The 17,867-nt window shown below is 36.1% G+C and overlaps 1 protein-coding gene across 9 annotated transcripts in view, besides 1 other annotated feature; it reads left to right on the top strand.

The window, feature by feature from the left end:
• CDH18 (cadherin 18) overlaps positions 1–17,867 on the top strand; it is a 1,104,418-nt gene that overhangs the window by 289,880 nt on the left and 796,671 nt on the right. The window lies entirely within an intron of this gene.
• Positions 8,770–9,969: an enhancer, noted in NCBI's record as "MED14-independent group 3 enhancer chr5:20275974-20277173 (GRCh37/hg19 assembly coordinates)". NCBI's record gives its function as "activates an origin of replication core promoter dependent on BRD2, BRD4, P300/CBP and CDK7 cofactors, and independent of MED14, by STARR-seq in HCT116 cells {active_cell/tissue: HCT116}" and the evidence as "EXISTENCE:reporter gene assay evidence [ECO:0000049][PMID:35650434]".

Here is a 17,867-nt window from a genome sequence, read left to right as displayed (position 1 = left end):
TCTGATACATGGCAATTCAACATGCATATTTATTGAGAGAAGTGATATTGTTCTATGATTTGACTATTACTAAATTTAAATGATTTTTCTATTATTAAGTTAAAAGGCATATCAATTATTTCATTTTCTTCTTGCATTTCAATTGATTATGTTACATGTGATTTACAAGCAACTGGCCTCCACAAAAGGGGGCAAATTGAGTATTCATCACTCATATATGCATACCTGTTCATTTAGAAATTATCAGTGTTCTTCTTTATAAATACACTTTATTTATACACGGAAGAGAAAATAAAATGAAAATCAAATAACTTGAAATGTAAGTTATAATATTTTATTCCTCCAAGCAATGGATGGTCAAGAACATGCCTCATATTATATGGCCTTATTATTATATTATATTATGATTATATTATATTATATTATATTATATTATATTATATTATATTATATGGCCATATTACATGCCTCAGATTATATGGCCCTATCTCAGGGACCAAAAAAACAAAATCCTTGAGAACAGTGGGTATTCATGACCATTGAGTGTGCTGATACAGTTGGAAAATTGGAAGACAATAAATTTTATCTGTTATAACCAGAAAATCTGATTCTCTTTGAAAAAGAGTATAATTGCAATTTTCTAAGTTATCATTGATTACTTCACATTAATTATGGTGGAATCTGTAAACTGTATTTGATTTGTGCATGCAGCAACTACCACCAGAAATGCAAATAAGCCCCCAATATACTCTTTATTTATGAGAGGGGATGGGTATGATATAACGGTTTAGGCAAAATGTATAACCATAGAATAATTTCTATGATGTATTGACTTAAACATAAAATAAAATATATCAATTCTTATTCTTAATTTCTATGTAAGAGTTTTTCAAGTAACCCATTAAATTGAATTATAGTACAACATTATAGACCATGTGCTATCCATGAGAATTAACCTTCTACACTATGGCTATGAAACAGATCCTAAATACATTGGTCCCAAATACAACTTGATTTCTAATACTTATATTTGCTCTATAAAATATTCTATAATAATTTGTCTCTGATGATTGAATCCATAAAGTGATGGTTTAAAATATTAGTTTTAAAAAAAGAATTCCCTTGCTAAATTAGCAGGATCTCAGAGAAATTGGTTAGTGGATGAGGTCAAGCTTGTTCATGGTGTCGTACTAAGTGTTTTAGGTGCAGGATTAAATGCAGTTTTTTCTGCAGAAGTTTATTGATTTTAGTGAATTGACTGACATAAACTCACAAGAAGAATAATGCTTAAGTCAAATGTCAATCGTTCCAATAACGGTGGGAAAAAATAACTCACAAGTGGATTATGGTAGGCATGTAGATTAATCAGCATGTTTTCTGTTTGTTAGAAAAACTGTATAAGCCCAAATTAAAATTTTAATGACTTTTAAAACATTTTTATAATTTTTATTTTTATGAGTACATAGTAAGTGCGTATATTTATGGGTTACACGAGATATTTTGATGCAGGCATGCACCACATCAGGTTAAATGTGATACCTATTACCTCAAGTTTGTATCCTTTCTTTATGTGACAAACAATCCAATTATATCCTTTTAGTTGTTTAAAAATGTACAACTGTAGTCACCCTGTTGTGTTATCAAATACTGGATCTAATTCATTCTCTCTAACTATATTTTTGTACTCATTAACCATCTCCTCTTCTCCCTGGCCCACTCCCCGCTACCATCCCCAGCCCCTGGTAACTATCATTCTACTCTCCATCTCCAGGAGTTCAATTGTTTTAATATTTATTTAGCTCCCAAAGTGAGTGAAAACATGTGAGGTCTGTCTTTCCGTGCTTGGCTTATTTTACTTAACATAATGATCTCTAGTTCCATCCATGCTATTGTCAATGATAGGATCTCATTCCTTTTATGGCTAAATAGTGCCCCACTGTGTATATGTACCACATTTTCTTGATTTATGTCAATGGAAATTTAATTTGCTTCCAAATCTTGGAAATTGTGAATTCTACTGCAGTAAACATGGGAGTGCTGATATATCTTTGCCATACTAATTTCCTTTATTTTGGGTATATACCTAGTAGTGGATTTGCTGGATCATATGGTAGCTCTATTTTCAGTTGTTTGAGGAAATTCCAAACTGTTTTCCATAGTGGTTGTGACAATTTACTTTCCCACCAACCGTGTACAAGGGTTCCCTTTTCTCTACGTACTTAACCAGCATTTATTATTGCCTGTCTTTTGGATAAAAGCCATTTAAACAGGGTCAAATGATATTTAATTGCAGTTTTTTTTTTCCATTTCTCTGATGATCCGTGATCATGAACATCTTTTCATATACCCGTTTTCCATTTGTGTGTCTTCTTTTGAGATGTGTCTATTCAGATTTTTTGCCCATTGATTAATCAGATTCTAAGATGTTTTTCCTATAGATTTGTTCACACTCCTTATATACTCTGGTAATTAGCCACTTGTCAGATGGATATTTTGCAAATATTTTCCCCCATTCTGTGGATTCCCTCCACTTGTTGTTTTCTTTGCTGTGCATAAACTTTTTAACTTGATGTGATCCCATTTGCCCATTTTTGCTTTGGTTGCCTAGGCTTGTGAAGTGTTACTCAATAAATCTACCCAGTCCCATGTCCTGGAGAGTTTACAAAAGTTATTTTTTTTCTAGTAATTTTATAGTTTCAGGTCTTAGTGTAAGTATTTAATTTATTTTGATAAGACAAGAAGCAGGGGTCTAGTTTGACTTTTCTGCATATGGATGTTTAGTATTCCTGGCACTATCTATTGAAGAGATTGTCCCTTACCCAGTGTATGTTCTGGGCATATTTGTTGAAAATAAGTTCACTGTAGATGTACGGATTTGTTTTTGGTCTCTCTATTTTGATGCATTGGTCTGTGTGTCTGTTTTTATGCCAGTATCATGTTCTTTTTGTTACTATGGCTTTGTGGTATAATTTGAAGTCAGTTTATTTTATTCTTTTTGCTCAGAATAAGTTTGGCTATTTTGGTCTTTTGTGTTTCATATAAACTTTAGGATTGTTTTTATTTCTATCAATAGACAAAGAGGGAATCCTCCCTAACTCATTTGATGAGGCCAGCATCATCCTGATACCAAAGCCTGGCAGAGACACAGCAAAAAAAGAGAATTTTAGACCAATATCCCTGATGAACATCGATGCAAAAATATCCTCAATAAAATACTGGCAAATCGAATCCAGCAGCACATCAAAAAGCTTATCCACCATGATCAAGTGGGCTTCATCCCTGGGATGCAAGGCTGGTTCAACATATGCAAATCAATAAATGTAATCCAGCATATAAACAGAACCAACGAGAAAAACCATATGATTATCTCAGTAGATGCAGAAAAGGCCTTTGACAAAATTAAACAGCCCTTCATGCTAAAAACTCTCAAGAAATTAGGTATTGATGTTACGTATCTCAAAATAATAAGAGCTATTTATGACAAACCCACAGCCAATATCATACTGAATGGGCAAAAACTGGAAGCATTCCCTTTGAAAACTGGCACGAGACAGGGATGCCCTCTTTCACCACTCCTATTCAACATAGTGTTGGAAGTTCTGGCCAGGGCAGTCAGGCAGGAGAAAGAAATAAAGGGTATTCAATTAGGAAAAGAGGAAGTCAAATTGTCTCTGTTTGCAGATGACATGATTGTATATCTAGAAAACCCCATCGTCTCAGCCCAAAATCTCCTTAAGCTGATAAGCAACTTCAGCAAAGTCTCAGGATACAAAATCAATGTGCAAAAATCACAAGTATTCTTATACACCAATAACAGACAAACAGAGAGCCAAATCATGAGTGAACTCCCATTTATAATTGCTTCAAAGAGAAGAAAAGACCTAGGAATCCAACTTACAAGGGATGCAAAGGATCTGTTCAAGGAGAACTACAGACCACTGCTCAATGAAATAAAAGAGGATACAAACAAATGGAAGAACATTCCATGCTCATGGGTAGGAAGAATCAATATCGTGAAAATGGCCATAATGCCCAAGGTAATTTATAGATTCAATGCCATCCCCATCAAACTACCTACCAATGACTTTCTTCACAGAATTGGAAAAAAACTATTTTAAAGTTCATATGGAACCAAAAGAGAGCCCGCATCGCCAAGTCAATCCTAAGCTAAAAGAACAAAGCTGGAGGCATCACACTACCTGACTTCAAACTATACTACAAGGCTACAGTAACCAAAACAGCACGGTACTGGTACCAAAACAGAGATATAGACCAATGGAAAAGAACAGAGCCCTCAGAAATAATGCCACATATCTACAACCATCTGATCTTTGACAAGCCTGACAAAAACAAGAAATAGGGAAAGGATTCCCTATTTAATAAATGGTGCTGGGAAAACTGGCTAGCCATATGTAGAAAGCTGAAACTGGATCCCTTCCTTACACCTTACACAAAAATTAATTCAAGATGGATTAAAGACTTAAATGTTAGACCTAAAACCATAAAATCCCTAGAAGAAAACCTAGGCAATACCATTCAGGACATAGGCATGGGCAAGGACTTCATGTCTAAAACACCAAAAGCAATGGCAACAAAAGCCAGAATTGACAAATGGGATCTAATTAAACTAAAGAGCTTCTGCACAGCAAAAGAAACTACCATCAGAGTGAACAGGCAACCTACAGAATGGGAGAAAATTTTTGCAACCTACTCATCTGACAAAGGGCTAATATCCAGAATCCACAAAGAACTCAAACAGATTTACAAGAAAAAAACAAACAACCCCATCAAAAAGTGGGAAAAGGATAGGAACAGACACTTCTCAAAAGAAGACATTTATGCAGCCAAAAACACATGAAAAAATGCTCATCATCACTGGCCATCAGAGAAATGCAAATCAAAACCACAATGAGATACCATCTCACACCAGTTTGAATGGCGATCATTTAAAAGTCAGGAAACAACAGGTGCTGGAGAGGATGTGGAGAAATAGGAACACTTTTACACTGTTGGTGGGACTGTAAACTAGTTCAACCCTTGTGGACGTCAGTGTGGCGATTCCTCAGGGATCTAGAACTAGAAATACCATTTGACCCAGCCATCCCATTACTGGGTATATACCCAAAGGATTATAAATCATGCTGCTATAAAAACACATGCACACATATGTTTATTGTGGCACTATTCACAATAGCAAAGACTTGGAACCAACCCAAATGTCCAACAGTGATAGACTAGATTAAGAAAATGTGGCACATATACACCATGGAATACTATGCAGCCATAAAAAATGATGAGTTCATGTCCTTTGTAGGGACATGGATGAAGCTGGAAACCATCATTCTCAGCAAACTATCGCAAGGGCAAAAAGCAAACACCGCATGTTCTCACTCATAGGTGGGAATTGAACAATGAGGACGCATGGTCACAGGAAGGGGAACATCACACACCAGGCCTTTTGTTGGGTGGGAGGAGTGGGGAGGGATAGCATTAGGAGATAAACCTAATGTTAAATGATGAGTTAATGGGTGCAGCACACCAAAATGGCACATGTGTACATATGTAACAGACCTGCACATTGTGCACATGTACCCTAAAACTTAAAGTATAATAAAAAAAAGAATCCAGAAAAAAAATAAATAAAATAAATAAATAAATAAAGTTTTTTTCTTCTTTCAATATTAAAAAGAAAAGAAATGTCATACATATTTTGATAGAGATTGCATTGAATCTGTAAATTGTTTGAGGTATGAGTAGTTTCCAAAATTCCTTTTGCTTTTTATTTCTAGTTTGATTCCATTTTAGTCAGATAATAACTTTGATGTAATTTCAATGTTTTTGAATTTTTTAAGACTTGTTTTGTGTGCTAACGTGGACTATACTTGAGAGTTATCTGTATGCTGAGGAGAACAATGTGTATTCTGAAGTGGTTGGATTAAATGCTCTGTAAAAAGATATATTAGGTCCACTTAGTCTATAGTGCAGACTAAATCTATGTTTCTTTGATGATTTTCTGTCTGGATGATCTGTCCAATCCTGAAAGTGAAGGATTGAACTCTGCAGCTGTTATTGAATTTAAGCCTATCTCGCTCTTACAGTTTTTGCTTTTTTTTTTTTTTTTTTTTTTTTTTTTTGAGACAGAGCTTCTCTTTTGTCACCCAGGAAGGAGTGCAATGGCATGATCTCGGCTCACTGCAACCTCCACCTCCCAGGTTCAAGCGGTTCTCCTGCCTCAGCCTCCCAAGTAGCTGGGATTACAGGTGACCACCACCATGCCCAGCTAATTTTTGTAGTTTTAATAGAGACAGGGTTTCACCATGCTGGCTAGGCTGGTCTCAAACCCCTGTCCTCAGGTGATCCACCTGCCTCGGCCTCCCAGAGTGCTGGAATTACAGGCATGAGCCACGGTGCCCAGCCTCTTATAGTATTTGCTTTATATATCTGTGTACTCCAGTGTGGGGTGAGTGTATATTTATAATTATTACATCATGTTGCTGAATTGACTTTCTGATCATTACATAATATGCTTCATTTTCTCTTTTTATAGTTTTTGTCTTTAAGTCTATTTTGTCTTATATAAATATAGCTACTTATGCTCTTTTTTATTTCTATTTGCATGGAATTTCTTTTTTAATTGCTTTATTTTCAGTCTATGTGTGTCTTTGTAATGTGTGGTTTTTTTGTAGGTAGCAGATCTTTGAGTCTCATTTCTTATCCATTCTGCCACTCTGTATCTTTTGATTGGATAGTTTAGCCCATTTACATTCAATGTAATTATTGATAAGGAAGGACTTACTCCTGCTATTTTGTTATTTGTTTTCTGGTTGTTTTGTGGTCTTCTTTTTTTCCTCCTTTCTTGGCTTCCAATCTAGGTACATGAAATATCTTTTCATTTTTTAGTTTCTCTGGTCATGTATTTTAATTTCTTACATGTTATTTTTTGTGTCTCTGTTGTAGGTTTCTGATTTGAGGTTACCAAGAGGCTTTCAAACAATATCTTATAACCCACTATTTTAAAATAATACAACTTAACTGATTGCATAAGCAATCAGACTGTCAAATAGGCAAAAAGAAAATAAATAAAAACTCTGTACTTGTTACTTTATCACCCTACTTTTTAACTGTTCGTTCTTTGTATTGTAGTTATTATTTTTAATCAGGTCATCTTTTATTTTTTATACTGAAGTTATAAATAGTTTACACACCACAATTACAATATTATCATATTCGATGTTCCTCTATGTACTTGCTATCACAAGTTAACCTTCAATTATATTTTATTGCTCATTAACATCTTTTTTTCTTTCAGACTGAAGAACTCCCTTTAGCATTTTTTGTAGGATAGGTCTTATATTGTAGAAATTTCTCAGCTTTTTTTTGTCTGGGAAAGATTGTATTTATTTTTTATGTTTGAAGGATATTTTTGCTGCATATCCTATTCTGGGATTTTTTTTTTCCTTCAGCGCTTTAAATCTGTCATGCCATTCTCTTCTGCCCTGTAAGATTTGCACCAAACGGTCTGCTGCTAAGTGTGTTGGAGATCCATCCTATGTTATTTGTTTCTTTTCTCTTGCTGCTTTTAGGATCCTTTCTTTATCCATGCTCTTTGGGAGTTTGATTACTAAATATCTTGACATAGTTTATTTCTGTTACATCTGCTTGGTGTTCTATAACTTTCTTGTACTTAAATGTTGTATATTTTTCTTGATTTGAGAAGTTATTAGACCTTTGAATAAACTTTCTACCCAGGCTCTCATTATCTATCTACTTTAAGGCCAATAACTATTAGATTTTCCTTTTTTAGGCTATTTTCTAGATGTGGCAGGTAGGCTTCATTATTGTTATTCTTTTTGCATTTTTCTCCTCCGACTGTGTAGTTTCAAATAACCTGTCTTCAAGCTCACTTATTCTTTCTTCTGCATGATCAGTTCTGCTGCTAAGAGACTGACACATTCTTCAGTATGTCAACTGCATTTTCAACTCCAGAATTTCTGCTTGACTTTTTTAATCATTTAAATCTCTTTGTTAAATTTATCTCATACAATTCTGAATTCTTTCTCTGTGTTATCTTGAATTTCATTGAGTTTCCTCAAAATGGCTATTTTGAATTCTCTGTCTGAAAGGTCACATAACTCTCTCTCTTCAGGATCGGTCCCTTGTGCCTTATTTATTAGTGAGGTCATGTTTTCCTGGGTGGTCTTAGTGCTTGTGGATGTTTGTCAGCTTCTGTGCAGTGAAAACTTAGGTATTTATTATAGTCTTCATATTCTGGGCTTGCTGTACTCATTCTTCTTAGAAAGGCTTTCCAGGTATTCAAAGGGACTTGGGTGTTGTAATCTAAGTTTCTGGTCACTTCAGCCAATCTGCACTGGAGGCACCCAAAGCCCAGTAATGGTGTGGCTCTTGAAGATTCCATAGAGGTGCTGCCTGGGTGGTTTTAGAAAAGATCTTGAGGAATTCTCTGGATTACTGGTTGGAGACTCTTTTTCCTTTCCTTCCTTTTTCCAAAACAAGCAGAGTCTCTCTCTCTGTGCTGAGTTGCCTTGAGTTGGGGGAGGGTTGACACAAACAACCCCATGGCCATCACCACTGGGACTGCACTGGATGAATCTTGAAGACAGCACAGTTCTGGTTCTCACCGAAGGCCTGCAGTAACCACCTCCTGGCTACCGCCTGTGTTCACTCAAGGACCTAGGGCTCTAAAAACAGCAGGTGGCAAAGACAGCCTCGCTTTTGTCCTTCTCTTTAGGGCAGTGAGTTCTGGTCCAGAGATGTCGTCCTGAAGCCAGGGCCTGACGTTGGAAACCTTAGGAATGTACCTGGTGCTCTATTCTACTGCAGCTGAGCTGGCATGCATGCCACAAGACAAAGTCCTTCCTACTCCTTCCTCCCCTTTCCACAAGCAGAGGAGTTTCTCCCCACAGTCACTACCACCACAGGCCTGTGGCCAGTACTGCCTGGCTACTGGTCATGCTTACTGAAGGCCCAAGAGCTCTTCAGTCAGCTTCTGGTGAATACTCCCAGGCCTGGGACTCTCCGTTCAGGGCAATGGGCTCCCCTCTGGCCTAGTGCCAGTGCAGAAATGCTGTCCAAGAGCCAAGGCCTAGAATCCAGGACCCTAACAGCCTGCTTAGTGCTCTATACCTTGTGGTCAAGCTGATACCTAAGCTGCAGGACAAAGTTCCCTTTACTCTTTCCTCTCCTTTTCTCAAGTTTATCCTGTAGCCACCACTGCTAGGAATGTGCTGAGTCACACCTGAGTCTCATCCAAGGCCCACAATGAGTAATTCTTGGCTGTTGATTCTGACTATTCAGGGCTCAAGGGTTCTTTATTCAGCTGGGGATGAATCCTGCCAGAATTTGTTCTTTGCCTTCAAGACAGTGGGTTCCCTTCTGGCCCATTGTGGGTCTAGAAATAACATCAAGGAGTGAGAGCCTGGAATGGGGGCCTCAGGACTCTGCCCAGTTCCCTATCCAACTATGGCTGAGCTGGTATCAAAGTTGCAAGACAAAGTTATTTTTACTCTTCCCTCTCCTCTCCTCAGTTGAAGGGAGGAGTCTCTCCTGGAGCTGTGAGCTGCGCTCCCTGGGATTAGCAGAGGAGTGGCACAAGTACTCACTTGGTCACCCCAGCTGGTGTCTCACTAGGTCACTTGTCCCCCATGTTCACTGGCTCCAAGCCCAGCAAAGCAGCAGGATTTGCCCCATGAATTGCAGTTCTTTTGGCCTAGACTACCTTTCAAGATTATTTAGAACCTCAGAGCAATTTATCGCATGGTAGTGAGGCTTGCTGGAAGTCACATTATGTCTGCTGGGGTGGGTAATTTCCCTCTGGCTAGGGCTGGTCTAAATGCTCCCTCCATGGGACCCAGCAGAATTCTGCCCAGTGTTGCCACTCACTGTGATAGAGCAACCATGAGTTCTGATGCAAAGTCCCCAAATCACTGCACTCTCCCTCCCCCAAAAGCAAATATTCTCTCTCTACACCATGCAGCCACTGCCAGAAGATAGGAGCAATTCAAGACTGTCTTTCCTATCCCATTCAGAGCCTGTTTCAGTGATAAGAAGTTAAAACCAGGTACTTTGATCACTCACCTGAAGTTTGATTCTTATTAAGGTGATTTTTTGTGTGGAAAGCTATTCAATTTGCTATTCCTCCAGGGAGGTTAATCAGTGAAGGCTTCTATTTGGCCACCTTGCTCCACCTCCCCCTTAATGATTCTTAATGTACTCAGAACACAAAAAATAATTGATTATTATTCATGGAAAATGCCATAAAGCATTGCTTGTGTGATACAACTGTTAAGTGGCGTATTAGTCAGTTTTCACATTGCTATAAAGAAGTACCTGAGATTAGGTAATTTAAGAAGAAAAGAGGTTTACCTGACTCACAGTTGAGCAGGCTTAACAGGAAGCATGATAAGGAGGCCTCAGAAAACTTACAGTCATGGTAGAAGATGAAGGGAAAGCAATGACCTTCTTCATATGGTGGCAGGAGAGAGAGAGAGCATGATGGGGGAAGTGCCACACGCTTTTAAGGCATCAGATCTCATGAGAACTCACTCACTATCACAAGAACAACATGGGGGAGATCCACCCTCATGATCCAATCACCTCCCATTAGGCACCTCCTCCAATTTGCCATGAGATTTGGGCAGAGACACAAAGCCGAATCATATCAAGTGGATATATAATCTCAGGTCCCAATATCATTTCTCCTCAGAAATGTGGTGAAAATAATAAAAAAAAAATCTTTAGCTTTTCTTTTCTTCAGGATCCCTCTTGTCTACTACTTATTGGCAAATCTAGTTTTCTTAGATATGGTAACATTTAAGGGCCTTGATATGGTCTTTGTGGAAAGGGTAACAAGCATGTCAAGGCAAAATGATTCATGGTCAGAGGTTTTGGAATGCTATTGCATTTTTTACAGTTCTCTCAGGCCATCACAATGCAAAGTAGTATATTAAATTTTCACCCATCATTTGAAATAATTTACATTGATTATATCCAAATATTTTTTCTATAAAGTATAAAAAAGATGTTCTCAAAGTATGATAATACGCCAAAAGCCAATGTTTTCTAGAATGGCTTTCTTGTAAGACAGTGGAATTCATTTAATTGGTTTTACATGTATCAAAATATATATATTCTTATCTTCCTAGTTTTGATACGGCAAATATACACTTTTTTTGTTTTTTAAGAACAGGTTTATTGAAATATCACTGATGTATATAAGCTACACATAAAGTTTATAACTTGATAATTATTGACATATGTACTCATCTATGAAGGCCATTGCAAAAATCAAGATAAGGAATATATCTCTCATCTCAGAAAATGTATATGTATTCCTTCTTTCTGATCCAGGAAAACACTGGTCAGATTTCTCTCACTATGCATTCTATTGACTTCTGAAAATTTTATATAAATTGTACCCTTGTAGGTTTTTTTTCTGGAAGGGATCTTCTGACTTATTTCACTCAGTATAATTATTTTGAGATTCAGCCATGCTGCGTGTACTTTATACTTGCTAAGTAGTATTATATAATATAAACATGCCACAGTGTGTGAATTCATTCTTCTGTTCATAAATATTACATTGGTTGATTTTTCTAGCTCTGGAGGCTAGAAGTTCAAATTTAAAGTGTCAGCAAGGCCATGCTCTCTCTAAAGACAATAGGGAACATTCTAATATGTACCTTTCTCTTTGCTTCTGATATTGCCTACTTTGCTAGCAATCCTTGCCATTCCTTGGCTTGTTAGAGACATTTCTGAAACTTTCTTCTTTCATTGTTGCATAATGTTTTGTCTCCGTTTCTCCACCTGTATCCCTCTTCTCTTCCGACACCACTCATGATGGATTAGAGCCTACTCTAAAGAAATCATCTTAACTTATTTACATCTCCAAAAATCGTATTTACCTGTAAGTACTGGGGGTTAAGACTTCAACATATCTTTTTAAAGGATACACTTTAACCTGTAATGACTGATTTCTCAGAATCTTAACTTGGTCTATTTTAATGTAACATCCTGGTATAGGTTTGATGTTATTGCTATATCCATGTTTGGGTGAGTGTCATAGTAGTCATCTATTTACTGATAGCTTTAATGATAGACAACTGATAACACACATGGATAAGCCAAGAAATAGTAGCAATGTATTTCTAGCAAATATAAAATATGTATTTTTTTTAGTTTGAATTTTTTGTCAAGATTTAATAATTCAGAAATTTTACATAAAAACCTAGATGCCACACTAAACCTGAAATATCAAGCACTGGGCAACAGAAGTTCTTAGTTATCATACTGCATCAATCAATTGACAGCAGTAATACTAAGGCATATTCAGTAAGTAATATGATTGATCATTTTAATATTTTTCTGAACCATTTCATATTGCTTCTTGAGTCAAATTTATTTTTCCATATTATCTGCCTTGCCCTCATAAGTATATGTATTTTTACTCCAGTCGACCTTAATCTCTCGAGCTCTTTGAACATCAAAACAACTTCATAATATAATTATAACAAACCCACAAGAACACAAGGCCCAGAATGAGAAAGATAATGTTTTAATAATATTTATAGGCACCATATTGTCTATGCTAGGTCCCGATATTTCTGTTTGTTGAATATTTCCTAAATAATGCATTGAGCTTTATTTTGTTTTTACAAAACAAAAAATGTTTTGCATCTTAGTACCTTAAAATTACAAGACTCAAATGAGCAAAGGACAGTTGCAAATATATGAATAGAGATGGAAATTTCCTAAATAAATGTACTTTTGCACAATCCTAAATGATTATCAGCATATAGTAAATTGTTTGCTTACAAACAGTTAAATCTATTCACTAGTTTATTCTTAGTGTTTGCCCGTGTGCATTAACATTACTGCATTTTCATTAGCATTTAGCTATTACATTGAAAACTTTCACATTAGGGAGTATGGAGAAAAGTGTTTACCCTTTGATGGAGAATAATAGTGGTCATTCATGATTTCCTAGAAATCCTTGCAGTGGTTGCATCCTCAAAATTATTTTACTTATTATTATGTAGAGGTTACTGGTTTTAACTGAGGTACAGAATATACATTTGTAGAATGACATAGAGGGAAAAAAATGAATGGACTTTGGAATCAAACAGAGCTAGTGCTATTTGTTAGTATGTTATGTCAATATAAATATTTTACATTTAGCTTCAGTTTTATCTTCTGAATGAAGGAAATAATAGTATGGGCTGTTTATTATTATTGTAATGTTCTGTTTAGTCTCACTCCAAAAAAAACAGGAACTTGCTCTACTTTCTTCTGTATTTCCATCCATTGTTCTACATTAATTATTTTCTTGAAGCATACAAAATGCTTTTTTTCTAATCTAAGAAAACAAAACTTTATCTACTCCCTCAACATACTGTGTCAAAGCCTTCCCTCCCAATCAGTCTTTGAAACAAAACAAACAAACAAAAAAAGTTAATCATGCTTACTTTTTACTTTCTTATTCTGCCTTCTCTCTTAAGCCCACATCATTGAACCTTTGACCCAATCCATCTCAGATACTGCTCTCATTACAATTACTAACCATCACTCTTCAGTCCTTAAATTAATGTGTCTCTCTGTGACTCTTTCTATTCAGATTTGGTTTACAGATCTCTACTTTAAGTCCACTTCTTCCTCTTAGGCTATCTTCAGTCTGTTTTGCTACTTGCTTTCCTCTTTATTTTGTTTAATTATCACTGCCTCTCCAAATCCTATTTTTGATCCAATTCACTTAAAAAATAGACTGGAAATGTTCACCTCCCTTTAGTTTTCCTTAATTCTTTATTCATAAAAATGTCCAAAATGTTGAAAAAATAGTGCAGCTAATACCTACAAACTTAAATTCACATCTCTCTCTCTCTCTCTCTCTCTCTCTGCCTCTCTACAGCAAGTGGCAGATGTTATAAAACTTCCTCTCTAAATATTTCAGCATAACTCTTAAATAAGAAACATTCTCCCATACACTAGTATTCTACCGCCATAACAAAATACTACAGACTGTGTGCTTACACAACAGAAATTTATTTCTCACAGTTGTCATGGCTGGAAATCCAACTCAAGATGTAAGCAGGTTTGGTTTTCCCTGAGGTCTGTTTCCTTGTCTCATAGATAGGCATCTTCTGGCTATGTCCTCACAAGGCTCTTCCTGTGTGTTTGAGTGTGTGTGACGTGTGTGGTGTGTGTGTATATCATTGTTGTATCTTCTTTCTTTTTTAAATTAATTTTGTTTTTAATTAACACGTAATCATTGTACCTATTTCTGGGGTAAATTGTGATGTTTCGATACATATATAGATTGTGTAATAATCAAATCAGGATAATTGGCATATCCATCACCTCAAACACTTGTCATTTCTTTGTAGTAAAGACATTAAAAATGCTCTCTTCTAGATATTTCTGGATAGACAATATATTATGGTTGACTATAGTCACCCTGTAGAGCAATAGAACACAAAAACTTATTCCTCTCATTGAGCTCTACTTCGTAATCATTGACCAGCCTCTCGTGAGGACAACAGTTCTAGTGGATTAGGGTCTCAATCTTCTGATCTAACTTATCCATAGTTATCTCCTTGAAGATCTTGTCTCCAAATCCAGTGAAAAAATAAGTTTCCTCCTTTTTATTTTCTATTTTATTTATTTATTTATTTACTACTTAACTTTTATTTTAAGTTCAGGGGTACATGTGCAGGCTTGTCATATAGGCAAACTGTGTCATGGAAGTTTGCTGCACAAATTATATCATCACTCAGGTATTAAGTCTAGTACCCATTTAGTTATCTCTCTTGATCCTCTCCCCCGTCCCACCCTATGCCCTCAGATATGCCCCAGTGTGTGTTGTTCCCCTCTATGTGGCCCATGTTTTCGTCATTTAGCTCCTACTTATAAGTGAGAACATATGGTATTTGGTTTTGTATCCCTGCATTAGAGGTTGCTAAGGATAATGGCCTCCAACTCCATTCATGTTCCTGCAAAGGACATGATCTCATTTTTTTATGGTTGTGTAGTATTCCATGTCCTATATATAGCACCTGTTCTTTATCCAGTCTACCACTGATGGGCATTTAGGTTGATTCCATGTCTTAGCTATTGTGAATAGGGCTGTAATGAACATACATGTGTATGTGTCTTTATAATAGCATCATTTATATTCCTTTTGGTATATACCCAGTAATGGGATTGCTGAGTCCAATGGTATTTTTGTTTTTAGGTCTTTGAGGAATCTCCACACTCTCTTCCACAATGGTTGAACTAATTTACACTCCCACCAACAGTGGATAAGCATTCCTTTTTTCTCCACAACCTCGCCAGAATCTGTTATTTTTTGACTTTTTAATAATAGCCATTCTGACTGGTGTGAAATTATGTATCATTATGGTTTTGATTTGCATTACTTTAATGATCGGTGACATTGAGCTTTTGTCATACGGGGAACACCATTCATTCCTTAACATCTTACATAACAACAATATCAATATTCCTTTCAGGAAGTTTAACAATTCTATATCATAAAATATTGTTTATATTCTAATTTCCACATTTGCCTTCAAAAAGTTTTATAGCTAGCTGTTTCTATTACTCAATATCCTATCAAGATTCACATTGCAACTAGGTGATTTATGTCTTTATTCTTTTTTTTTTAAACAAAGAAATCTCCTGCATCATTTTATTTATTTTTACTTTTCCTTGTTTATGTATTGTTTTACATTGATTTTATTTTTGAAGCATTCAGGTCATCATCTTGTCTAATGATTCACAACTGGGATATGTGAGAGTGGTTCCTCATGATCCAGTTCAGGTTCATGTTTTTTTGGCAGGCTTGCTTCATAGGTGACATGTAATTCCTATTGCATGTTGACTTATCCTGGTATTATTGAGCTATCTTTATTTTTGAATTCTGTACATTTTCTTTATCTCCTTTCCATTTGTATACATATATGGGGGTATATGTGCAATTTTGTTACATTCATAGATTCCCTAGTGGTCAAATCAGGGCTTCTAGAGTATCTGTCACCTGGATAATGTGCATTGTACCCATTAACTAATTTGTCTTCAATCTCCCCACTTTTACCCCTTCACCCTTCTAAGTCTACAATATCTATAATTTCGTTTTCTACATACATATGAATACACTGTTTACACTCACTTATGAGTGAGATTATGTAATATTTGTCTTTCTGTTCCTGGCTTGTTTCACTTAGGATAATGGCCTCCAGCTGCATCCATGTTGCTGTGAAAGACATGATTTTATTTTTTCCATTGCTGAATAGTATCCCATTGTGTATATATAGCGTATTTTCTTTATCTATTTAAACACTGATGGATATTTTTATTTATTCCATATATATTCTATTGTGAATAGTGCTGTGATAAACACAGGAGTGAGGTATGTTTTTGATATATTGACATCTTTTCCTTTGGGAAAAGTGGTGGGAGTGCTAGATCGAATTGCAGTTCTATTTTTAGTTCTTTGATAAATATCAATACTGTTTTCATAGAGACTGCACTAATTTACACTCCCATCAACAGTGTATAAGAGTTCCCTTTTCTCCACATTTTCACCACTATCTGGTTTTTGCCTTTTTAATAACAGCCCTTCTGATTGGGGTAAGATGTTATCTCATTGTGGTTTTGACTTGCATTTCTTGGATGATTAGTGACGTTGAGCATTTTCACATTTATGTGTTGGCCATTTGTGTATCTTCTTTTAAAAAATATCTATTCTTATCCTTTGCCCATTTTTAATGGGATTATTTGGTTTTGCTGTTGTTGGTGTTCAGTCATTTGTGTTACTTCTATATTGTGGATATTAATCCCCTGTTGAAGAAATAGTTTGCAAATATTTTCTCCCATTCAACAGGTTGTCTCTTCACTCTGTTAGTTGCTTATTTTGTTGCGCAGAAGCATTTTAGTTTAACTAAGTCCCACTTGTCTACTTCGTGTTGTTGCTGCTTATGCAGTCTTAGTCATAAATTTGTCACCTAGGCCAATGTCCAGAAGAGTTTTCCCTAGGTTTTCTTCCAGTACTTCTAAAGTTTCAGTTCTTATGCTTAAGTCTTTTTCGTTGTTGTTGAGATAGGGTCTGTCTTGCTCTGTCCCTCAGGCTTGTATCCAGTACATAATTATGGCTCACTGAAGCCTCATCCTTCTGGACTCATGATCCTCCCACCTCAACCTCCCAAGTAGTTGGGAAGATAACCATGCCCAGCTAATTTTTAAAATGTGCTATAGAGATGGGGTCTTTCTGTGTTTCCTAGGCTGGTCTCAAATTCCTGGGCTCAAGCGGTCCTCCTATCTTGACATACCAGTGCCAGGATTATAGGTGTGAGCCACTGTGCCCAATCTGTTTAAGTCTTTCATCTGTATTGAGTTGCAGGAAGTCCTACATAGAACAATCAGGCAAGAGAAAGAAATAAATGACATTTAAATTGGAAAATAAGCATAAATTATCCCTGTTTGCTGAGGATTTGATCTTATATCTAGAAAAACCTAAAGATTCAACCAATACCCAAAGGAATACCCAAAAAGACACAATCACGCATATGTTCATTGCAGCACTATTCACAATAGCAAAGACATGGAAGCAACCTAGGTGTCCATCAGTAATGGATTGGATAAAGAAAATATGGTACGTATACACAATGGAATACTATGCAGGCATAAAAAAGTGAAATCATGTCATTTGCAGCCATATGTGTGCAACTGGAGGCAATTATCCTAAGCAAATTAATGCAGGAACAAAAAATAAATGCAGTATGTTGTCATTTATAAGTGGGAACTAAACATTGGGTACACTTGATATCAAGATGGGAAAGATAAACACTGGGGACTAC

This window comes from Homo sapiens, chromosome 5 (assembly GCF_000001405.40).
Source record: "Homo sapiens chromosome 5, GRCh38.p14 Primary Assembly".
Classification (NCBI taxonomy): Eukaryota; Metazoa; Chordata; class Mammalia; order Primates; family Hominidae; genus Homo; species Homo sapiens.
Note: the sequence above shows the minus strand (reverse complement) of the source record. Positions and strands in the feature narration are given on the sequence as shown.